We start from the raw sequence: 26,391 nt of genomic DNA on the forward strand, positions 1-26,391 counted from the left end.
AGTCCATTCTCATGCTGCTAATAAAGACATACCAAAGACTGGGTAATACCTAAAGGAAAGGAGGTTTAATGGACTCACAGGTCCACATGGCTGGGGAGGTCTCACAATCATGGCGGAAGGTGAAAGGGGAGCAAAGTCACGTCTTACATGGTGGCAGGCAAGAGAAGTGCTGAGCAAAAGGGGGAAAGCCCCTTATAAAAGCTCAGATCTTATGAGAACTCAGTATCATGAGAACACCAACATGAGAGTAACCATCCCATGATTCAATTACATCCACCTGGCCCTGCCCTTGACACCTGGGGAGTATTACAATTCAAGGTGAGATTTGGGTGGGGACACAGCCAAACCATATCAGCACCCAATATAATCATAATTCTAAAGAAGCTCTGTGAATTTAATCTTAATGTAGACTATTCTGATATCATAATATATTATTAGTGAAATTGGAGGGATTAATATTTTGTAATAGGGTAAAATTAAGGATAGGCAGTGTGAATCTAAGACCAAGATGTCTACTTGCAAGGCAAAAGAATATGCTCTGAGGAGAAAAAGTCAAAGTAGGAACCCATAGTGAAAATAAATAAATAAATAAAACTTTGTTTATAAATTAAATATAAGGTTTACTTAGTAGGCTAGAACACCTATTAACTTGTATTGATCAAAGTAGTAACATTAATATACACAGCCAAGTTGTTTTCTATGTATCATCTCTTTCCCTCATGGAACATTCTTACAGAATTGAGCAGGTCTATGAGAAGCTGCTTCTTAAGCAAAGATGCCGCTTATGATGCAGTTGTTGCTGTAGCTATAGGTTTATGACTGGAGAAGCCTGGTATGTTGGCAAGGGAGACATATATATTCAGCCATTCAGCCTCCTGTTCCCCTCTGACACTATATGTTAAGTAAATATATATCTATGTCCCTAAAGATCACAGTGCCAATGATGCCATCCAGAGTCAATTAGCCTATTGCTCAGATATGAGACCATACAAGTCGTCTCTGATAATTTTTTTAATCTGTTGATCTTAGTGTTAATCTAGAGATTCTAAGAAATTAAAAGTTTTATATTGTAAATTAACTATGTTTGAAAAAGACATAAGCAGATTTGGCATGTGGTGTTAATAAACGTGTACCATCTCCTCTAAGTTCTACAGACCAAAAGCATTATTAATTTTCTTCACCTCTCATTGGTTTGTGTCTCTACCTCCTATAAATCCAGCAAAACTTAAAAAAAACCCTAGGAAATACTATTCTAGACATAGGCCTTGGCAAAAATTTCATGACAGAGACTCCAAAAGCAATTGCAAACAAAAAAACACAAAATTGACAAGTAAGACCTAAATAAAGAGTTTAGATTAAATTACACCAAAGACCTAATTAAACTATCAACAGAGTAAATAGGCAATCTACAGAATTGGAGAAAATATTTGCAAACTATGTATCTGACAAAGTCTAATATCCAGAATCTATAAGGAACTTGAACAAATTAACAAGCAAAAAAACAAACAATCTCATTTAAAAATGGGCAAAAGACATAAACAGGCACTTTTCAAAAGAAGACATATCGATAGCCAACATTATATAAAGTCTTATTAGGCTCAACATTGCTAATCATCAGAGAAATGCAAATCAAAACCACAATGAGATACCATCTCACACCAGTCACAATGGCTGCCATTAAAAAGTCAAACAAATAACACATGCTGGTGAGGCTGCAGAGAAAAGAGAATGCTTATACACTGCTGGTGGGAATGCAAATTAGTTCAGCCACTGTGGAAAGCAGTTTGGCAATTTCTCAAAGAATTTAGAACTACCACTCAACCCAGTAATCTCATTATTGGGTATATACCCAAAGGAATATAAATCATTCTACCATAAAGATGCATGCACACTATGTTCATCACAGCACTATTCACAATAGCGAAGACACGGAATAAACTTAGATGCCCATCAACAGTGGACTGGATAAAGCAAATGAGGTACATATACATTATGGAATCCTATGCAGCCATAAAAAAAATGAGACTGTGTTCTTTGCAGGAACATAGATGTAGCTGGAGGCCATTATCCTAGTGAATTAATGCAGGAACAGAAAACCAAATACTACATGTTCTCATTTATAAGTGAGACCTAGCCATTTAGTACCCATGGACACAAAGATGGGAACAATAGACACCAGAGCCTACTTGAAGCTACAAGGTAGGAGGGAGGGTAAGGATTAAAATTACCTATTGAGTACCGTGCTTATTACCTGGGTGAAGAAGTAATATGTACACCAAACTCCCTTGACACTCAATTTACCCATATAACAAACCTGCACATGTAACCCCTGAACCTAAAATAAAAGTTGGAAGGAAAAATAAAAATTGTAAAAAAAATCAAAACAAAACCAGGGAAAGACTTGGCAGAAGTCAGTCCAGCAACTACTTTAAGAAAAAAAAATCATTTCCTCCCAGGAGTCCTTAACACAAAAATAGGCATACCTTTCTTGCATTTATTTAATAAGATGATGCCACAGTTGTACTGGGGAAAATATGAATAGTCATAACAAATAACTCATTTTATTCCAAAATCAACTATTAATATATGGATTCAAGTTGCTTATTAACTATACCCACTGTTAAACAGTTCTCTGGTAATGAGATGGTCCCTCAATCATACTATAAAATAGAATATTTTACTATGTCTTAAGTACTTATGGGCAGAAACAAACATATCTCAGCATGAAATTATCTATGCCTTGTAACTAAGTATGAAAACATAGTGAGGACAGTGAGAGTTATTTCCCTGAATTATTTACTTTTAATTATTTATGATAGCAGGATAAAATTACATAATCACCTTCAGAATCCATGCTTAATGAACTTATTTCATCTACTCTGAAAAGTCATTTTTTATTCCTCCATCCTTCATAAAGCTGTGCACTTCTCAGGGTTCCCTTTTATGGAGTGTGATACAGAGGCAAATAAAATGAAAGAAATAGTCCACAAAAGTCTTCCCAGAACGAGACATAAGAAAAAATCAGACTGTGGAATGCAGCAAGGAAATCACAGGAAATATTTTAAATGTTTCTCCTTTTAAAAAATCAGAAAATACAAATTGGGCCATTAAATTCCAAAAGTATGGATTCCTAAAAATTGTTTAAATGTCCTGAAAGGTAAGGATATGTGAATTTATGACTGATGAAAGGAGATAGCAAATGCCTTACACCTGGATATTTGCAAGCATCTGGAAAAGCTTTATCTGTGGAGCAGTTCCTGAGATCCTTCACCTACCCAAGACTATTTATTTGCTAAATGCACAGTCATCGTAAGAAACAGATGGCAGAGGTGCTCACTTTTGTACAACATAATTACAATAAAATAAAGCATAGTGATTTTGTCAGAAGAGGAAAAATGCATAATGCACTTGCTAAAATTGGCTAATTGATTTCACAGAGCCAAGGAGACACAGTGGTATGAGTGGATGTGTGTGTACACATAGAATCTTTCTTCACATCTGATGCATTAAAGAAATGCTAACTTCAACTATGCCATTACCATCCTCAGCACCACCGTGAACACCAGATTTCTCTCTTATAAGATTTTTTGAGGTACAATTGCTATACCAAAAATTATACATATTTAATGTATACATTTTGATTAGTTTGGACATATATATATACACCTGTGATACCATCACTACAATCAAGGTATTATACTAAACATATTCATCGCCTCCAACAAATTCCTTATGTTCTTTTCTGTTTTGTTTTTGGTAAGAACACATAACATGAGATCTCTTCTTAACGTATTTTAAAGTATGTTAACAATACAATTAGTGCACTAACAATACATACAGTGAATTGCGTTGTTAACTACAGGTACTGTATTGTACAGCAGATCTCTAGAACTAATTCATCTTGTATAACTGAAACCAAGTTTTCAAAACAATGGAGAAGGATCATTATGGTAACAATCTTACGGTCCCTTAACCTTCCTGCTCTCTGATTTCATGACAATAATGGCAGCATCCAATGCTGACACTATTTTGGGTATTGTATGTACATATATACATATATGTTTTTGTCTAAATGAAGAAACAAGGGAAGGGTGGGCTTGTTTTCTCCCAGTGATTCAGGGCAGAAATGTGATATTCCAACCACTGGAATAATGGAAAATCTATTGCCCATACAAATACAGGATACTGCTGTTAATTTTCTCTACAGTGTCTACTAAAACAAATGTAAAACCTTCTGTAGCCAATTACCTAGATACCAATAAGTTGCAAAGAAAGAAAGTTGTGCAGGAGCTTGAATTCAAGCATGTCAAAAGAGGGAAGAAAATGCTTGCTGAACTAGGATCACCAAATGTAAAACTGCTGAGCAAGAAAGAAGTATGTAAATTGATTAAATTTTTCAAGAGAGAGTCATTTTCCTTTCTTTTCTCCTCATGCTGAGAACATTTCTTTTTTAAATATCATGGTCACTAGAGGTTGAATATTCACTAGAAAGCACATTTCAGCACAATTACACGTCAAATCTTGCCAGACAAAATGTGTGCAGGTCTTTGGGAGTACTGATACCTTTGAAATAAATTGTGTGTTAACAAACAGTCCATTCTGGTGATACAAGTTAATTGCATAATTATGTTGGGATAAGACAATACAATTACCACATCTCACTCTACACAGATCTCAGGATAGGTATCCAATTAACTCAGGTCAACAGACTCCTTGCTTAGGATGTGGTTTTCAGTCTGCTCCCAAGATGACATCACACAGTTGCCTATCTCCTGAAGTGCAAAAAAGGTTTTTAAGGAAATAAGGCAATTTTGAAGAGGTTAGGAGCAAACTGCTGTGATCTACTTGATTCAGAAAGTAGTATTCTAATAAATCTCTTTCAGTATGTCATGAAAATATTGTTCAAAATCGATCAGAGTGGCTAAAATATACAAAAGTTCATTATGTTGTTTTCCATAAATATTTCATTCAAGGATTGTATCAAAGCTGAGGACATGAGAGTTGAATGTAGTCTCAAAAACATCAGAAAGCATGGAAATCCTATTTTATAAAGATATATTTAAAACTGAGAAGATTACCAGACTATCGCAAGCAAAGAGAGAGCCTAGCATGGAATTTTAGAAAATATGAAATGCCTTTAACAACTTGCCAAATAAATAGGTTTTGATATATAAAGAAATCTGTAATATCATGGAAGGATTCGTTTTTTATTCATTTGTTATCCTGAATACAAAAGCAGCATTGAGCAGAAATGTCAAAATAGGGAACATCTGTTGGTGCCATCCCCTCCAGCAGAAACTGGTAACCCCTTTTGCAATTACATAGCATTTACTTACCACTTTTCTAAACACTTGTCATATTGCAACACAATTATTTTTAAGACTCTTCCACAATAAGATAAATTGCTAAGAAACAGGGAATGTGTCCAAATTCACCTTTTCATCCCCATCTATCATTCACTTAGTTCCCAATAAATGTGTGTTAAATAAGAGAAAAATGTATAAACAGCAATGTAATAAATTTCATTATCATGCCACATAGATATGGGTCTTTCGTAGTTATTTCAACATTAGCCATCATTAGGTTTATATAAAGAGGAAATGAATAGAATGGCAACGCAATGTTATATCCTACATAAATGGAATTCTCTGGCTCATGGTAACGGAATGTAGCCAGTTGGAAAAGCCATGAAGTGGAACTAAACAGTGAAGTCAGTGAAGTTGGTACAGATGCTGGGAGAAACTCCAGGTTGTTAGACCTCACACAACATCCAAATATAAACCAAGATAATGCACTGGCATTGATATTTCTCATATGGGATATATGAAGCCAAATGCTATCTTGTAAATCTATATCAGCACATTGCCTAGATGTTTAAGCTCTGTCCACAATTTCCTGGCTACCACACTGGCTTTTAGAGACAGGCCTCTTTGTCTCAAATCTAGGCATTAATGAGAGCCAGCAAGGCCCTGGTCCTAAAGAGGCTAAGATGTTGGGCAAAAACAAAGACACGATTTGAGCAAAAACAAAGACAGATATGCTTTTTCACTGGAAAAAGTATAGTTATCCAGAAGGCGGAGACGACATGGAATTAGACTTGCCAAATAAATCACAAGTCCAATACAGAGCTTTAAATATAATAAAGGTTGAAATTGGAGCTTGGATGACTTGATTCAAAGCCTTAAGTCACTTAATTTTCTTTTATTTTCTATGTAAAGTCAGGATTGGATCTGGAGACAAAGCTGGTTTGAACATGTTAATGGGAGCTAAGCACCTCTTGTTTTCAATTTAAAAATGTATGCCACGGTAAGGAATTAGGCAGAACCTGACACAAAGTCTGCAACTTTTGTTCCCCACCAGCATATTCAATTTGCTATGGGCAGCCCCCACTCATGACTTTATGAAGTAAATATAAATAGAAGGCAACTAGAGATTTTTAGCCCCAGAATGCCTCTAGTGCATTGTTCCATTGAGATTCTGCTACCTGAGATAATCCCAGATCTATTATCCACTCCTGTTTGAATTTCACTTACGATGGACTATCCTTTTTTGGGGTTTTTTGAACCTAAATTCTTAATTACTCAAGTCTTGGACTCAGTATGTTTTCTCTTTGTTTTGGAAACCTAAACACTTAGCTCAGGGGTTAGATATGTGTGTTTGGACCCAAATTAAGTTCTGAATAATCTTCTTGGCTTGATAAAAACCCACATTCCTCTAGCAGTTGGCAAGACTCTTTCTGCTTCTCACTGTTCGTTCCATTCTTGAGAATGTGAGATGGTATGGCTCCCGCATTCTTCCAGCTAAGTATCCCTCGCTGTTCAACTGCAGCATGAATGACTAGACCCTGGTTAGACTATATTTTAGCTCATTCCCTAAGCTCATGGACCTTGGTAAAACAGCACACAGAGTCCTAGTCCTAGTCCTGCCTATTTGTAGTTCTACCACCACACGCACCTCATTGCCTAAATCTTTAAAAAATATTTGCTTTGGGCGTCCAAGCAAGGAAGACAGATTGTAGCAACTGCATGCTTCTGTTTCTGCTATTTAGAAAGATACACTCTGTACATCCAGATGGTAGCACTACCAAGTCCCTGGATATTTCTCCCCAGGAGCACGGAGTCAGACACTGTTAACTATGGTATTTATTTGTGATACTTGCAGAGAAGTGGCAAATTAATATTAATATAGATCACACAGCCGGGAAGGAAGCCCTATCCTTCAAGTGAAAATGTGCATACTCCAGGAAGGGGGCCTGCAGCAATGGGAACACTGGAGAGGCCCTTCTTCCCATTGAGTTCTAGCAAAACATGTTTCCCAAACAATAATAGAGAATCAAGAAAATTATGTGCTAAATATTAAACTTGAAAGCCAACTCTACCAAAATGATTCAAACCCACAACTTTATTTCAAATATTTTCAACACTGGCCTGCTTTTATAAACTAAATTCAAATAAAGTTATGAAAATATTTTGCTTACCCTCATGATACAGATGTTAGAGGCATGCTTAACAGCTTTCTCAGTTTCTTTCTTTACAATGAGTTGTCTAGTCAACCACAGAGATTTAGTGAATATTTCCAGGTCTATTTTTACATGTCCCTCAAAAATTAATAACTGACCTGGAAAATCATGTTATACATATTATATAAGAGAAATGAGCATGACTTTTGTTCTCATTAATCTCTCTATGTAAGTTTTCGGAAGTTAGAATACCTGAGGTTGAACTGACATTTAACAGTATAAAATGATAAGTAGTCAAGAACTACGTGCTAAGTTTTAAATTTTCTGTTTTTTAAAAATTGAAACTGATTTTTAAATATTACATCTTCTTCAAAATATTTTAGGCTGAGCATGGTGGCTCAGGCCAGGTGCAGTGGCTCACGCCTGTAATCCCAGCATTTTGGGAGGCTGAGACGAGGGGATCACCTGAGATCAGGAGTTCGAGACCAGCCTGGCCAAGATGATGAAACCCCATCTCTGCTAAAAATACAAAAATTTAGCCAGGTGTGGTTGCACCTGTCTGTAACCCCAGCTACTCGGCAGGCTGAGGCAGAAGAATCGCTTGAACCCGGGAGGCGGAGGTTGCAGTGAGCCCAGATGGTGCCATTGTACTCCAGCCCGGGTGACAAGAGCAAAACTCCATTTAAAACAAAAAACAAAAAAAAAAAAAACGCAAAGTTAAAATAATTAGGTTACATTAAAAAAAAAAAAACAGAAAATAAAATATACCTTTTACATCAGTTTAGTCAATAAATTTTATAAGTAAGGAAACTCTATGGAACCAGGGGATTTGGTTAAGTAACCCACATTTAGCATGATTTTGCAATCTGAACACCGCTTCTGGTATGTTGTAAGGATTCTGGAAACACTGGAGGAATTCCATACCTTAAGATTCTAAATAGGATGGGAACATATGAATAGTATTCTAGTTTACTTAAATGTTTACCCAAAAGGTAGCCACTTGATTGATCCTGTCCTGGAACTCTTATAACAATGTAAACCCCTCTACAGAATGCTAGGAGAGTACACACTTAGTGATGTTTAATATTTAAATGAACACTTGAATGAATGAATGAACTGGAAACCTCATATTTTTTTCTCATAAATGTTTCCTTCTTCCCCTCTTAAGCTGCGATAGAAAAAAAAAATCTCTCTCAACTAGGTTCTATTTCCAATGGCCATAATATTCTTAAGAATTAAACATCACATACATATGCACTTAATCTTCTAAAATCCTTTCAAAATTGTGTCATATGCAATTAGTGAATTGTGTAGATTGAGCTTCTAGGAACGATAAAGTTCTTTATATGGATTCCATTTCAAATAAAAGAAAGTATTAATCTTCATAACCATGTCTTAGGTTTAAAATTCTTGACATATTAGAAAAAAAGAAACTTTCTCATCAATATTAAATAATTAAAAGTGGTCATAGTTGAACAGTAACCTACCAAGTTTTACCTTTTCCAAGTTCGGACCCACATTTTCAGTGATTTGTTTTCAGCCTGGGGCAGATGACATTCATTCCAATGAATCTGCATTTACAGAACCCATGAGCTATGGAAAATCAAATCATAGTTTTCGTTTTTGCTCTATTTATTTAAAACTATCTCAGTCGGGTGCTGTGGCTCATGCCTGTAATCCCAGCACTTTGGAAGGCCAAGGACACGAGGTCAGGGGTTCAAGAACAGCCTGGCCAACATAGAGAAACCCTGTCTCTACTAAAAATACAAAAAATTAGCTAGGCGTGGTGGTGGGTGCCTGTAATCCCAGCTACTCGGGAGGCTGAGGCAGGATAATTGCTTGAACCCAGGAGGCAGAGTTTGCAGTGAGCCAAGATAGCGCCATTGCACTCCAGCCCGGGCAGCAGAGCAAGACTCCCTCTCAAAAAAAAAAAACAAACAAAAAACAAAACAAAAACACCAATCTCATGTTTCCTAGGAGGTGATTTTAGCTAGCATTTATCAATAATAATTCTAGGAAAATTGCAAACTTTTTAAAACTTACACATCCATAATTATGCCTTTCCCAAACTGTTTCCAGAATAGTTATTTTTGATAATAAAAATGTATTTATTTAATGAAATGTGTGGTAAAGTATTATAGACTTTCATATACATAAACTCACTATTAGTCTAATCTGCCTTGAATTTACAATTTATCCTAAAGTTCAAAATAGATTTTTCCCTTTGTTCTAAAAGTTTTGCTTAGGCTTCTGGCCAAAACCAATATAATCCTAACCTAAGACCTAAGTAAAGCTTTAGTATGCTTATGCACAGTGTATGTAATGCATGATTTCCCATATAGAGGCAAAAAGGTGAACTTTAATAGCATAGACCTTAAGCAATATTTTCTTTCACTTGCTACTTTATAAGTATGAATTATAAGAAAACTAGACACTAACATTCTTTCATCCGGTATTTTTTTCCAGGATCCATTTAAGATGAAAATAACTATGGTGACTAACATTATCACTCTACTAGCTAGCACTCATATGGCTATTGTTCAACCATCACTTGCAGCATTTGAGAATTTGGGTATAGGAGGCAAATCCCAATTCAAGACTAACAGGGGCTTCCAGTAATCCAAAGAAAGGAGAAAAGAATCCTATCGAGGATCTCACGAATCACCACTAAATAACTTACTCATGTAACCAAATACCACCTGTACCCCAACAACTTACGGAAAAATAAAGTAAAATCAAATAAAATAAAGAATCCTACCAATATTATAAGATTCACTCATGTGCCTCTTGAAAATCCCCAGACTTCATAACTGGCCTCTTCCAAATACAAATTAGAGCTCTATTTACCCTCATTGGGTTTCCTTAGGCTCAAATCCTTTCATTCTCTTGACTATGAATTGGAACAGAAGTAGGCACAGTTGGTCGTTTCAGAACTTTATTTCTAGCCACTTCCTCCTTCATGTCTTCCACAACTCACCACCAAACAATGTATTTAGGTACATATATTTCATGAATGCATTTATTTATTGAAATGGTGCCACTTCTTGTTTCAAGCTGACTGGAATTTTTTTCCATTACAACTTACTGTTGGTTTCCAACACCTGATAAATGTTCATAACAACACATATATGATTATATCAAAGCTATTCAATAATCTGAAAATGGAATATAGTTATTATGAATATTTTATATTATCCATACTTCAGAAATAAAAAATAAAAAATACTTAAAGCAAAACCCATCCATGTTCAGGACATATAATCTCATGTTAAGGCCATACAAGGTTTGTTTTGTTTTGTTTAATCTTAAATAAACTACTGGAAGCATGAATTCCCTTGACCAAATCCTCGACAAAAATTGTACTGGAGCTGGACTGAGGGGCCTAACAAAACATCTGAGCCAACTTTTCCATTTGAAAGAAAGGAAATTGAGATCCAGCTGGTGCTACATACAGGGTACTAGTGATAAGGTTGGGTCTGACACTTCACCCTCCCAGCTTTGGGGTGAGGCTCTTTCCAGACAAGGATACATAGGAGCTGAACTGTTTCTAACTGGTTTATGTTTTTTTAAGGAAGCCCATCAATTTTTTATGTGATAAAGATAATCATGTATACAAATCTATTATATCAATTATCACGTGAAAATGGTGGAGGAATTTTAACCAAATGTGGGAATTATGTCTGGGACAATGTGACTTATATACATTGTGGGTTATGTGTATATTTGCAATTCACTTTGCAGAGCCATAACAGCTAAAGATATCAGTAGTCATCTTTCCAAGCAGCCGACACTGAAGTCTAAGGGAGAGAACTGCGTATGGGCCTTTCAGGAAAGATACAGGAACCATGGGCAGAGGGGGAGGGGCGGCACCAAATATGAGGACAGACTCTCAAATGGTAGGTTTCAAGCTGAAACATGCTGTATCTAATCTGGAAATGTTTGTATAGTGTATTCCAGGGAACAGCAGCAAGATTTAATTGCACAGGAAGAGGAAGATGGTACTGCTTTTTCTCTGTGTTTTGTAGAAGACCTCACAGCAGATTGAAGATCCTTTCTCTCTGGCTTCACACACTCCAGATATTGTCGCAAGTCTGGTTTGGTCCCTAACCCACTAACTCCCTTAACACTGAGCCCCTGAATTCAGAAGGGATAAGGAAAAGAAATACAAATCAGTATTTTTCCATATAGTCTTTTATATCCATTGCAAAAACTTGTAAAAGTAATATTTTCTGGCATCATTATATTTTTGACACTTTTATATCTGAAATAATGCCTTAAAACCCCAAACTTGAAACAAATATTATGAATATGGATGGCAATGAAGCTGCCTCTAAGAAAGCAGCAGGGTAGGAAGTACCTATGTGCTTCAAGTTAGCAAATGAGTCGCATTTGTCTGGCAAATAAACAAAGATATGAATCACCTCCTTGCCTAAAGCTGCTAATTCTTTGGAGCGAAATTATTGCCACAAAGAAAGACAGTGGCTGTGTTTGCTCCTGTTTCAACTAAGAGTGACAGACAGCTAACAGAAAACATTACCAAAACATTTGCTAATGATACATTTACATTGATAAATCTGTGAAATCCCATACACAACATGTTAATAGTATATAAACCTAGATCAAGTTTTGATCAATAGCAGCAAGTGGGTATCTTGAAAAAATCTATTATGCTTTTTCAATTTTGGATTCTGTTGTTACGGTTATTTACTGATTGAATTTTTGATCTTATGCACAAAGACTGAAGATTATTAGCATTCTTTGAATATAAATGAGTACTGTGATGGGATTCAATTTCTCACTGAATTTTAATTTAGAAGATGTTCTTTTTTGTTAGTTCATATTAATAATCAGAATTTTAATCATTTTCATGTGCCCATGGAAGTACTGCAAGAAAAAGAAGCAAATGTAGTTAGAAATACAAACTATATAAACCATAAAGTTTCAGTTCTATGTCCACATTATGATAGTATTATACCAGAGAAAGATCTCCAAAGTAATCTCACTGCTATTTTAATCCACACAAAGAGATGAAAAGATGTTCACTAACTATATCACTTTTCTGTTTCCGGTGATGAATTTTCTCAATGAACTATGTAACAACTCATCTAAGCATATTAAATCATTTTTAGTATGTACACACATGTGGCCACTAACTGAGCTTTTTGCTCAGACACATGAACATAAACACCAGACATGCCAGTTTTTCCTCAAATTAAAAGGACATATAAAATATCAGGAAGAATTCACAGGGAGAATGGGACTAGGCTTCTATCTAGGGGAAATTTTTATAGAAAAATCTATTTTTTCAAACAAAAGATATTAAACAATAGCTCATCTTTTCCCCTCATCTCTCTCTGCCCTTCACATATATATGTGATATAGCTATAGATATAGATATAGAGATACATATTTCAGATGGAGTCTCACTCTGTTACCCAGGCTGGAGTGCAGTGGTGTAATCTCGGCTCACTGCAACCTCCACCTCCCGGGTTCAAGAGATTCTCCTGCCTCAGCCTCTTGACTAGCTCAGATTACAGGCGCCCGTCACCATGCCCAGCTAATTTTTGTATTTTTAGCAGAGACAATGTTGCACTATGTTGGTCAGGCTGATCTCGAACTCCTAACCTCAGGTGATCCACCCACCTTGGCCTCCCAAGGTGCTGGAATTACAGGCATGAGCCACCGTGCCCAGCCCCATAACATATTTTCATAAAACATTTTATAAGTGCATTATTATAAAGTATAAAATACAATGTCCTTCCAGTTAAGGTTGATTTAACAGACTGTATGTGACATCATAAGACTTAAATACTAAAATTAGAAGATAATAGAATGAGAAGTTTCATTCCTGTGACTACAGGCTTCTGGATGTACATTTATTTACCCTCATTCTAAGAGTATTTAACTACTAATATAAGGTATTTAACACTGTACAAATAACTGTTTTGCTTTTGGTCAAAAAATCATTCTATTGTAAATTAACTTTTAGCTGTGCTGTATATGGCAACTTTAAACTTTTATTTACTTTAAATAGGAATCAATATTAGTTCTGGTAGACTTCACTAATAATCCTTTAAGAAAAGGATGAATTGTAGGGATGTGTAACAGTAGTTGGAGATAAAAATATTGGAGCAAGAAAAGATTTGAAGTACAACAGGTCCTCAAATAACACTGTTTTGTTCAATGTCATTTCCTTATACCATTGATGATGAAAAAAAAAAAACTCAAAAAAAAAAAACTCACTCTCATAAAAAACTGTCTGTGTGGAGTTTGCACATTCTTGCCACGTCTGCATGGGTTTTCTCTGGTTTCCTCACACATCCCAAACCTGTGCATGTTAGGCAAATGGGCATGCTTAAATGGTCCCTGTATGTGTGAGTATGTATGTATTATTCTGTTCTTGCACTGCTATAAAAAATTACCTGAGACTGGGTAATTTATAAAGAAAAGAAGTTTAATTGGCTCATGGTTCCCCAGGCTGTACTGGAAGCATTGCTAGAGATGCTTCAGGAAACTTATAATCATAGCAGAAGGTGAAGAGGAAGCAGTCACATCTTTCACAGCCAGAGTGGAAGGAAGAGAGTGAAGAGGGTGGGGGGTGCTACACACTCTTAAACAAGCAGATCTCATGAGAACTCACTATCACAAAGACAGCACCAAAGGAGAAATCCATCCCCATGATCTAATCCCTTCCCACCAGGCTCCACCTCCAACACTGGGGACTGCAATTTGACATGAGATTTGGGCAGTGACACAGACCAAAACCATATCAATTTCCTCTGGCCCCTCCCAAATTTCATGTCCTTCTCACATTTCAAAATACAATCATGCCTTCCCAAAAGTCCCCTAAAGTCTTAACTCATTCCAACATTAACTCAAAAGTCCAAGGTTTCATCTGAGACAAGCCTAGTCACTTCCACCCATGAGCTTGTAAAATCAAAAGCAAGTTAGTTACTTCCCTGATACAATGGGGTATAGGCATTGGGTAAATACTCCCTTTCCAAAAGGGAGAAATTGACCAAAACCAGAGGGCTGTAGGCCCTGTGTAAATATGTAACCCATCAGGGCAGTTATTAAATATTAAAGCTCCAAAATAATGTCCTTGACTCCATGTCTCACATCCAGGGCAGACTGGCCGAAGGGGTGGGCTCCCAAAGACTTGGGCAGCTCTTCTCCCTGAGGCTTTGTAGGGTACAACCCCAATGGCTGATTTTACAGGCTGGTGCTGACTACCTGCAACTTTTCCAGGTGCACAGTGCAAACTGTTGTTGGATCTACCATTCTGGGGTCTGGAGGACAGTGGCTTTCTTCTCACAGCTCTACTAGGCAATGCCCCATTGGTGACTCTGTGTGGGAACTCCAAACCCACATTTCCCCTCTGCATTGCCTTAGTAGAGGTTCCTCCTGAGTGCTTCACCCCTGCAGCAGGATTCTGCCTGGACATCCAGGCTTTTCTGTACATCTTCTAAAATCTAGGTGGAGGCTCCCAAACCTCAACTTTTGCACACTGTGCACCCATAGGCTTAACACTGCCTAGAAGCTACCAACACTTATGGTTTGCAATCTTTGAAGCAATGGCTGGAGCTGTACCTGGACCCCTTTTAGCCATGGCTGGAGCTGGAACAACTGTGATGCAGGGTACCACGTCCTGAGGTTTCATACTACAGTAGGGCCCAGGGTCAGGCCCTGGGTCTGGCCCATAAAACCATTCTGCCCTCCTATGCCTCTAGGCACGTTATGGGAGGGGCTGCTGTGGAGGTTTCTGAAATGGCTCTGAGGCCTTTTTCCTATTGTCTTGGTTATTAGTACTTGCATTTCTTTTAGTTATGCAAATTTCTGCCACCTGCTTCACTTCCTCCTTTGAAAATGGGTTTTCTTTTCTACCACATAACCTGGCTGCAAATTTTCCAAACTTTTATGTTCTGTTTCCCTTTTAAATATAAGTTCAAGTTTCAGATCATTTCTCTGTGTATGCATATGAGAATAGTCTTTTAGAAGCAGCCAAGCCACATCTTTAATGCTTTTATGCTTAGAAATTTCTTTGACCGGATACCCTAAATCATCAAACTCAAGTTCAAAGTCCCATATATCATTAGAACAGGGACATAATGCCACCAGTCTCTTTACTAAAGCATAGCAAGCAAGAGTGAACTTTATTCCAGTTCCCAATAAGTTCCTCATTTCCATTTGAGACCTCCTCAGCCTAGCCTTCACTTTCAATATCACTATCAGCATTTTCGTCACAACCATTTAACAAGTCTCGAGGGAGTTCCAAGCTTTCTCTCCTCTTTCTGTCTTCTTCTGAGCCCTCCAAACCGTTCCAACCTCCACCCATTACCCAGTTCCAAAGCTGCTTCCACATTTTCCTGTACTGTTGCGGTAATTAGAGGACCGGAAAGACCAAATGGGTATTACAGGAGGATTTTTATTAAAGTGTACAATGGCTCAGTGGATTCATATCCAAAAAGCTGAGCCTAGAACAAAGAAAGGGCTTGATTTTCATAAGCAAGCTTACAGAAGCAGAACAAGGACAGTTAATTAAATAGTGACAGGTCTCGTAATATCCAGCATAGCTTGTGACCTTGCAGCTGCATTGAAGGAGAAACCGGAACTTACAAAACTTGCAAAATATTTATGGGGAGTGGGTAAAGGGCTAAAAGAGGAATTTTGTTTTTCTTATCCTTATGTTGGGGAGTGCTGGGAGAGTCTCAAGAGAACATTCCTTTTGGGTTCTGACTTTTTAGATAGTGTTATCAGGACCTTGCCTGGGCCTGGGCTGTGTCTGTCACTGCTTTTTGGGATGACACAGCCTAATACAGGAAAACTTGTTTTCTCTTTTAGTTTTTATTTCTTCTTTCTCTAAGTACCTCTCAGTACCTCTAATAGCAATGCCCAACTTCCCCGGTACCAATTTTCTGTATTAATACATTCTCGCACTATTATAAAGAACTACCTGAGAATGGTAATTTATAAAGAAAAGAAGTTTAATTGGCTCATGGTTCTACAGGCTGCACAATAAGCATGGTTGGGGAGGCCTCAGGAAACCTACAGTCATGGCAGAAGTTGAAGGGGAAGCAGGCACATCTTACATGGACAGAGCAGGAGAAGGAGAGCAAGGTGGGAGGTGCTACACACTTTTAAACAACCAGAACTCATGAGACCTCACTCACTATCAGGAGAACAGCACCCAAGAGGAAATCAACCCACATGATCCAATTACTTCCCACCAGGTCCAACCTTCAACACTGGGGTTATAATTTGACATGAAATGTGGGCAGAGACACAGACCCAAATTATATCAGTGGATGTGTGTGAGTGAGCTCTGCAATGACATGACATCTTACCCAGGGTTGGTTCCTGCCTTCTGCCCTGAGCTACTGGGATGGGCTCCAGCCATCTTCAACACTGAACTGGAATAAGTGGACTGGAAAAGAATGAATGAATGAGTACAAATTACCATAAAATAAAAATCCATGAAGTATACAATGATCATACAAATACAAGACAATAAATAGTGCAGTACACTAGGGATCAGGGAGCCCACCACATTTGTTGTTGTTTTTGAATTACACATTTGTTGTTGTTTTTGAATTACATTATTGTAAGAAGCATGCCTTGCAATTTTCGCTTTGTAAACGTTTACCCCTGATTTAACCTACTACTGCTACAACCACCATTACTCACTGATTCACAAGCAACTGGGTAAAGAATTATCATTTTTTATTAGTCTTTCTTAAAGGCATGTATAGGTCACATTTATTTCAATGTTTAATATTAGAAGTGTTTTGGTTTTGTTTAGAAATTTGGTGATCTCTTTTTTTTTTGTAAACCAGAAATGTGCTTTACAAACTTAACTCTTGTTATATCAATTAACCTCTGGTAAAATTGGTTTTCTTATATGTCATTTTGCTTAAAGTCACAGTTTCCAAGAACTGATTGAAAACATTAAGCAAAGACTTACTGTTTTTTAATGTATCATCCTAATTGCCATAAATAATTCTGGGAGGTGGGGAATTAATGCTGGATATTCCATCTATACACCAAAAAAATTTTTAAAAAAGCATCAGCTTCTTTAAATCTAGTACATAAAAAGTAGATTCCAACCACATGGTACATCATGTAAAACATCAAAACTCCTGTAAAATTCAAATTGAAGCCACATTTAGAGCATATAGTTGCCAACACAATGACATTTTGTTTATGTGAATGATGTAAGTGGAGATACATATGTTCTTTTTTTTAATGTTTCATTTTACATTTTTTCCTTATCTAAAAATTACACAACTTTAAATATTAAAATTTGGACATTTATTTTAAAATAAACTAGCAGTTCTTTCTCATTTTGTTTTTCCCCTAAGGGATGATATTTCAATTTTGTGATAATTAACAGTGAGGAGGTGATAATATAAGGATATTATATTTATTTTCTAACTGTCCCTTGCCTATAACACACTGCATTGTCCTCTTAGAATTTAAGGAGAGCTAGCCTTTTGAGTTGGTACACTGAGATGAACAAGATATGTCTTGAAAAATGAGCATTTATTCACATTAGACAGATCCTCTATTCTACTAGGGTCATTTAGGCCTCAGAAATTCGTAAGAGATTTCTAAGAAAAAAATTTGAAAGTGCTTTCATTCTTCTGAAATTTGCAATACAGAAAGACTTCTTAATTTCAGAATAACTAAGAGTTGAACCAATCTGAAGTCCTAAGATTCAGACATATAAATTACTGTTTTATATAATTAGGTAAACTATGATTTTATTTCTTCTTAAATGTTTACGACTATCTCCTGAACTTTTTCCAGAGATTTATTTATTCAGTAGTCACCCCAATACTTTGGCAAATGTCAGAGCTCCAGAAACATTTGATTGGAATTAAATATGTTGTTTTCCATTTTGACAAACCTTAATTCCTTGCTCCAGCCTTCACTCCACCCTGTTTGCCCCACCCTAATCACTTCTGAATACATTCCATCCATTGCCCTTTTATTCTAACACTGTGCTAAATATTAAATACATGCTAACCCAACCTGATACCATGAAATGTAACATAAATCATATTAAAGGATTAGGGGAATTTGTGTGTTTTTAAGAAGTTATTTGAAATAAAACCTTCTAGATTTTTAAGTTATTTTGCACTGGAATAAGTTGGTTTCTGTATTTTCTCTGTTCACCTTCTTAAGCCTGTGGAGAAACCTTGCCTGCCTCCAAACATATCCTGTATACAAACAAGTGAGAAATCATAGAGCTCTGCCATAGCATTTGCTTTTTATGCAGCTCATTTTATGGGAGCACCTGTTCATGTAGATAAATGATGCCAAAATTGGATGTCAGCCCAAAAGATAGTGACTTCAGTGCAGTAAGCCAAGCAGGAGTTGGACCTGCACACAGTAGGCAAGTCCATCCAGCCTCTGTAGTCAGGCCCTGAGGGTCCAAGTTTTCAGCAGCCGGTTAGACCTCCTACATGTCTGCATATCCTGCTTACTGTGGAAGAAATGTACATTTATAAACACAAACCCTGAGTTAAAATCCATCTATGGCCATAAATTAAAATGGGTCCTCCATTCTATATTCATTGCTTGGCAATTAAAGAGTCCATTTGAATAAACATGGTCCTATGCAAACACTTTGAAGTGTGGCAGTTATCACAAGTGTACACATCCAACAGCCTTTGTCTGTCTTTGACTGTTGCCAACTCCACCATAAGGGGGATATTTCTGAGTCTAAAAACAGCTAGCATAGAGAAAACTTGTCAAAACTAAACAAGGCATTCCCTGTTAAAACATTCATAGAAAGAAAAATCCATTTTAGAACAAGTTTAGTTCTCAAACAAATACTACTGATTGTATGAAAACTAATATCATAAACATTAAGGTAACAGTTACTTTTTGACATACAGAGGCTCAAAACACATAGCTATATCTATATAACTCCAGTGTTCATGTTCTGAAACTTGAGCACTTACATTATTTCATCCAATTCTCAAAACAAGTCAGTAAAATAGTGTACTAGTTTTTCATTGCTGAAGTAACAAATTACCAGAAATTTGGTGGTTTAAACCAACAAAAATTATCTTACAGTTCCAGGGGTCACAAGTCCAAAATGAGTCTCAATGGGCTAAAATGAAAGTTTCGGCAAGGCTGTTTTCCATTTGGAGGCTGTGAAAGAGAATGCATTTCCTTGTGGCCTGCATTTCCTTGTGGCCTGCATTTCTTAGCTTATGGCCCCTTCCTCCATCCTCAAAGCCAGGAAAGGTAAGTCAAGTCTTTCTCACATTGCATATGCATAACGTTGACACTAACTCTTCTGCCTCCCTTGCCCACATTTAAGTACCTTGTGATTGCACTGGGCCCACCTGGGTAATCCAGGATAATCCCTTTACTTAAAGTCAGTCGACTGGCATCCTTAGTCCCAACTTCAGTCTTAATTCACCCTTGCCATGGAATATAACAATTCACAGATTTGGGGGATTACAGGTAGATATCTTTGAGGGTCAATGATTCTGTCTGTCAAAAATAGGAATGATTGGCCTCATTAACATATGAGAAAGGTGAGGCTTAAAGAAGTTGAATAATTTGCCTAAATGTACATAGCTAATAAGCTGAAATATTGGGAGTGCTTCCCCTCATCTGTCCAATAGCTGCTGTATCCTTCAGGGTCTTGGCAAGAAAGAGATGGCATATCCAAATGGTAATTTAAGGAGACTTTAATAAAACCATTACTTAAAAAGTGTGGCCATATGTAAGAAAATTATCATGGCATTAACTGGGGACTAGTAATGAGGTTCTGTTACTACACTGAAGAGGTAAAGGGAAGAAGAGTATGATGAGAACTTGAAGACAGAGGAATAGAGCCAAAAAAGGAGATCTTAATGTACAGGCTGCCAAGAGTTACCTTGTCTTACGGAAAACAGTCAGCCAGTGGTAACCCTGAAGAGAGGGTACTAGGAAATTAAGGACACTGACTTTACTCCCATTTCCCAAACTCTTCTGAGTGCTCCATATTCAAAAACCTGGTGCTAAGACAGAGGCCAAGCAGGTCATTTGCCGAGTCTAAACTGGTCAGCCTCTGCAGAGAGCAGAGTAGAGGAAAGCAGAGAGGGGATCAGAGGCACAACAGAAGACACTGGGGAGTTTCTCCAAATTTATTATTGATTTATTAATTTATTGATTTACATTAATAATCATTGCTGATATCTGGGTTTTACTAAAAATGACTTCAACATTTTGATTTTATAAGCAATTAGTATGGAGGTGGTCAAAGACTTATCTTTTCCTTCACATATTACCCTTTCCACAAAAATGTATTTAGTTGGTGCAGAAGTAATTGCAGTTTTGGCCATTAAAAATAATGGCAAAAATCACAATTACTTTTGCACCACCCTAATACCTATTTACCTTTTTTTACTTTATTGGCTTTAAGCTTCAGAATCCAAAAATTTTTAAGTGCTTTCACTCTTCTGAAATTTTCAATACAGAAAGACTTAACTTCAGAATAACTGAGAGTTGAACCAATCTGAAACCCTAAGATTCAGACATATAAATTACTGCTGTTCTATATTATTAGATAAACTATGATTTTGTTTGACCCCACTGGGAATAATTTATGACTGAACTTCCACTGGCTTCATTTTGAATAAATCTTTTCAGATACAGATAGACCAAGATACAATAGGTTAAATTATTAGAAAGGTGTCATAGGATAGAATGACTCAAGTTGAATCTGATACTTGAATATAAATGTTAAAAATATTTTTAAAAACTTTAAGACAGTACAGTACAATTTTTTCATCTGATAGACATTTTCTGAGACAACCTCTGAAAGATATCAGAGCAACTTGATGGCTTTTTGAGAGACCAGTTCAAGGTTGTCCCTCAGCTACCTGTTCTCCTTACTACAACTTATCTTTAGCCTTTATTTTCAGTTGTTCCATTAATAGCATTCAATATGAAAGTCAAATTTCCTGGAATTACCTCCTTATCCATACCAGGAGCTTCACCTTTCAGTCTTGCACTTTGCATGTGTCCGAGGCATTGATACCGTCAAAATGCATAAATTCACACTATTTGTACTAGATTTTTTATCCTTTGACCTCTTTTCAATTTGTTATTCAATATCAAAAGACTACAGAGCTTTGACTTGAAGTGTCAACCTCAAAGGCACTTCTAATACAAGAAAGAGAGCCTTTACATGGCCAAATACCTGTCTTCCCATTATTTGAACTCTGTCATCACGAATATATAGAAGAATGAGATAGTGGAATTAGAATGATAGAAGCCAAGAAAGAAAATGGAAGTGAAGGAGGGTGAAGAGGTCATTTATTTTATCTCATGTCCATGACAAGGAAACGTAAAGGAAGGAATTATACCAAGTTGGGCTGGGGGCTAAGGAGAGTGAAATGTAAATCTAAAGGGAATCTAAAAGCCAGAGACAACCTTAGAAAGAAATTACTGAAAAAGCTAACTTATTCTGAACTTCATAAGATACACTCCCAGGGCTGTGGAGAAAAAATACAAATAACTTAGAATCCAGAGATATCTGTTCTTTGGTATTATAACTTGAAACAAGACTTAAAGTAAGCATAAAAATCCATGTTCACTTCAAAGTTAAACACTGTGGCTGAACAAATGCAAAAATTTTCCCAGTGATACTGCCATGGAACCATTACACTATAACCTCTTCATCAAGGAATCAGTCTTCTAAAAGCATTGATTCTATCCAGCAACCTTGTGTCAGTTTGGACAGATCCGTACCATCAAGGTGCAACCTGAAATTTGACACGTAATGAACACAAAATCTTTCGTTTAGCTATGAATTTAGGTTTGTCTTTTTGAGTAATGGCCTAACTGAAGATGAACTACTTTGGTGATTTCAAACTAAACTGAACTTGAACTTTTCCCTAATAAGGTATCTAAGTGTGGCATCTCTATTAACCAAAAAGAATTTGGAAATCAACAGAACATGGAGTTCCCTGCCTTCCAACTTATGTTCAGACCATGAAAACCTAGAGATCTACATAAATTGGGTCAAATAATAGAATCCTGAGCTAAGTGGGGTGAGGGTTTGGGGGAATGGTGCTAATTTTTAAGTTATTCCTTAGGTAAAACAATGTATATGGGCAATGGAGGGAAATTTTTAGATTCTATCAAATCAGAGAAACACTACTAGTGTACCAAAACTTAGGCATTAATCTCTTTTCCCAAAAAGCTATGCAGCTGGGGGAGACACACAGATTTTTGTAATGCACATATAAAGATTTATGTTTTATACTTGCATATTGAATACATTTTTCAGAGGCTATACAAGGAGATGAAATAATCCTGAAAGATATACAGTCAAAAGGAAAGATACTAGCAGCTCAAAAATACATGGAACCTGTTCTTCTGTGTACCTCTCAGGCCTCTCAGCACTCACCAACACCATTAGCAGAGGAGAGGACAAGTGAAGGAAGAAAGAGAGCAATGAAGCTGACTGAAGCAAAAGAGAGACAAGGAAGACAGGTGTAGAGATGGACAGGATAGCTAATGTTGATCTTTCATCAATTGCAGACAGTAATTACCAATAGTTCTCTGCAATTTTTTAGAAAACTTAGATTAAGAATGGCATGAATATTCTAACAAGGATGGCACAGAATGTGTGAGGGACAGAAAAAGAATTAGTGAATAGCCAAGAATCAGGCAAAAGGAAGCAGGAGTTGACAGTCAAACTAGACCAAAAAGGAGATGAATATTTACCACAAACTACCTAAAGCTTCCACCAATTCCATGGTAAAGACAGATTGTAGGTTAGCATCGGAATCAACTTGCATATTCATTATAATGTATTGTTTATTCATGTTTAAGCTGTTATATGAACTATGAATAATTCATTTTATAGTCTAAGTAATTTTCAAGTAATCCTTTTATTATCTTTTTTAAGTCCTAAGCTAAAGATTTCTCTTCCAGTGATTAAAAAAATTAGAATGCCATCTGAGCTGAAGTGAGTCAAAAGTGTGCGGCAGCCAGTACTTTTATGGTGTTCAGAATGGACAGACGAACTTTGTAACAACTGCCTTAGAATGCTCGCCTCACAAGACTTGTAGTGTCTGTGAGTGTTACAGATAAAAGCCACTCACTGGAGCTCAGGTCTGCCCTGAATGTCTTCTTGCTCATAATGGATTTGAAATGCATTGGTAACATCTTCTCTCTCATTAAAAATGTAATGCATGTTTGCAACTGGCAGTAATTTTTGAAGTCTATTCCTTTTCTATATGACATATTTTCAATGAAACAAAATACATAAAAATTTTCATATCATTTTATGCCATTTTCTTCCCAAATGCCATTCCATAGAATTCGTTCTTGCTGAAGCAGGAAGACTTGTAAGGAGCTTCCCAAAGGTGATAAAGCATTAAAATATAAAATTCTGTTAACAGCAGATGATGATACTACTGCCCAGGACTGATTCTTCCTACAATGTAATCCCATTTCCTGCTGCCAAGACTAATTATCTAATGACTAGCCTTCTAATTTGTCATGCATTTTTGGTATATTTTGATTTATTTGTCACACTACAGATCTTTGATCACCAATCTCATCTTTGCAATGGGTTTTTTTGTTCCAGTTTGCATACCTGTTTTTGACCCATGGTCATATAAGCCCATCTGTTCAATGTTTCTCATAACCTAGTTGCAATCTCCCCCAATCTACTTTGTAACTCTGCAACTCATGAAGTACCAATTGAAACTCAACTCCACCTGCCATAATACTCACCTTTCTCTACTATAACATGACTCCTCTCTCAAGCCAGAGTCCCTAACCATCATAATTCAACTTTTGCAACTCAAGTCTTCATGTCTGCTCTCTGTAGAGAGCATTTATGGCCCACATCTTTTTACATCCCTGGTCAAAGGATACAATTCCCTGTATAGTATCTTTCTACTTGGTAGAAAAATAACTGGCAAATAATATTTGGATTGTTTCTAAATTGCAATAAAATTTTAATTTTTTAAATGAATCACCACTGAGTGTGACCTAGACAAGCTAAATGTTCTTTTGCAGCAGTAGGAATCAGAACTTAGTTTTAACTACAGTCATATAAGCCATTTAAGTGTTTAATTCCTCTGAAATCAATTTCTTCATCTGTAACACAAAAATGATTCCATCGGCCTTACATATGTCCAGAGGTTATATGACAATCAAATAAAATGAAAATAAGTGAAAAATTTATCAAAAATAGTAAGAGATCAACAATGTAGAGGAATGTGTAGAGGAATATAAAATTCAAAGCCAATGAACTTCCCATATATGTCTTAAAATAGTTTTCTAGTTGTGGTGACAGGTTTGTAAAAACATAAGCAGCATTTTTCCCCTGTCAGCATATCCTTGGAATCCTCCCTACAGTAGATGACATTGCTACCCTGCCCTAGACCCTTCTGCCCTACCACTGCAGTGATATCCACCTGCCAGGACTCACATTTAGTTTTTGCAGAGTTTATTCCAGCCATCTCAGCCCACTTTGTCATCTGCTCAGGAAGCCAGAATTCCGCATGCTCTGGGGAGAACTCTTAAACGTTAATTTTATACTGACTCTCAGAATTCCCCAGTGGAATTTGTCTGCATGTACTTAAAGGAGTAACTAGCATGATAACAAACTCAGCTGCCTTGTTTCACTGTTTCACTGGCCTGGGATCTATAAGTGGTATTCTGGGATCATCTAAAATATAAAAAATAATTAATGATATAATATTTTTAAAATAAAAGTCTGCTTTTACTGCCTTTTACTCAAATTTTTGCTTTAGGATCAGCTTCTGAGTTAATCCAAAACAAAACAGAATTCCTCAAAAACAGAATATAAAAAGCATTCTTTCACATAATTTTTGACCCAACTAACATTAAAAGCAATCTAATTCTGTTTTTTCTGAATTTCAAATTCAGCATGGGCTCTTCTCAACCTATCACATAGAGTTCATATTCCAGAAACATGTCCTACATATTTTCTATGCTTCAGCCATAGTGAGTCACAAATATGCCATCCATTGGAAGTTGTTATGCTTCCATGTCTCTGCCTGTGCTAGTTTTCTAGAACCTGAAGTATCCCTCCCCGATTCAGTACTTAGGAAGTTCCCACTGATCATTGGAGATGAAGGTTAACTATCTTCCCTTCTGTGAAGCTTGCCCAGGCTTCCCTGACACAGTTGATTTTTCTGTCATTAGTTCAACTGAGATACCTAATACAGGCTCTTGAAAAAGAGCCCCCACCAACCTGAATTTTCAAAGATTACAATTCCAAAGAGTTCTTGTATGCATAGAGACTCATGATCATACCCTAATAAGCAAAGCTTTGATGAGATGAAGACATCAAATGGAGCCGGTTACAGTTAAGACCTGATGAGCCTAACCGTGCCAGGATCACAACACTAATGATCACATCAGTGCCTCAAAAGAAGTGACTGTTTTCATGACATGAGCTTAGGAAACACTTTCAAATAGCCAAAACAATGAACGATAAACTCAGTAATGCCAAAAGCCTTATGTTATTAGTTTTATTGCAATTACTATATTTCTTCACATTCAACATCTGCTTAGATCATGCAGTGCTTATGGGCATAATTTTTCTTTATCCCAAGACCCTAGGAAAGCATACACACATAACATAAACTCAATAAATATATGTCAAGTGTGGAAAAAATGAAAATATTTTGGCTATTAGATTGAGAATAAACACCTTCAGATGTAATATGAGAGGTGTAAGCAGTCACTGGACTTGATGCTGGCCTAGAAGGAAGCCTCATCTGAGCCTTAAGAGGTTAAGAGATAGGAAGTGAAGCAGGGACTGCCTGTATGTTCATAAATTTGCTCCTGGTTCCCTTACTGTTTAATGTGCATTTATTTCATAATTTCTTTAGTGAGTACATCTTTACAGAGTGTTCGGTATTTGCTACACATTATGA

The 26,391-nt window shown here is 36.7% G+C and overlaps 1 long non-coding RNA gene across 1 annotated transcript in view; it reads right to left on the reverse strand.

Annotated features, from left to right (window-relative positions):
- The window catches only part of LOC105378178 (uncharacterized), an 894,025-nt gene that overhangs the window by 325,587 nt on the left and 542,047 nt on the right, over nt 1–26,391 (reverse strand). The window contains exon 5 of the long non-coding RNA XR_007064152.1: nt 16,804–16,883. This is a non-coding gene — a long non-coding RNA (uncharacterized LOC105378178). The remainder of the gene's footprint in view (nt 1–16,803; nt 16,884–26,391) is intronic.

This window comes from Homo sapiens, chromosome 14 (genome assembly GCF_000001405.40).
Source record: "Homo sapiens chromosome 14, GRCh38.p14 Primary Assembly".
In the NCBI taxonomy this organism is placed as follows: domain Eukaryota; kingdom Metazoa; phylum Chordata; class Mammalia; order Primates; family Hominidae; genus Homo; species Homo sapiens.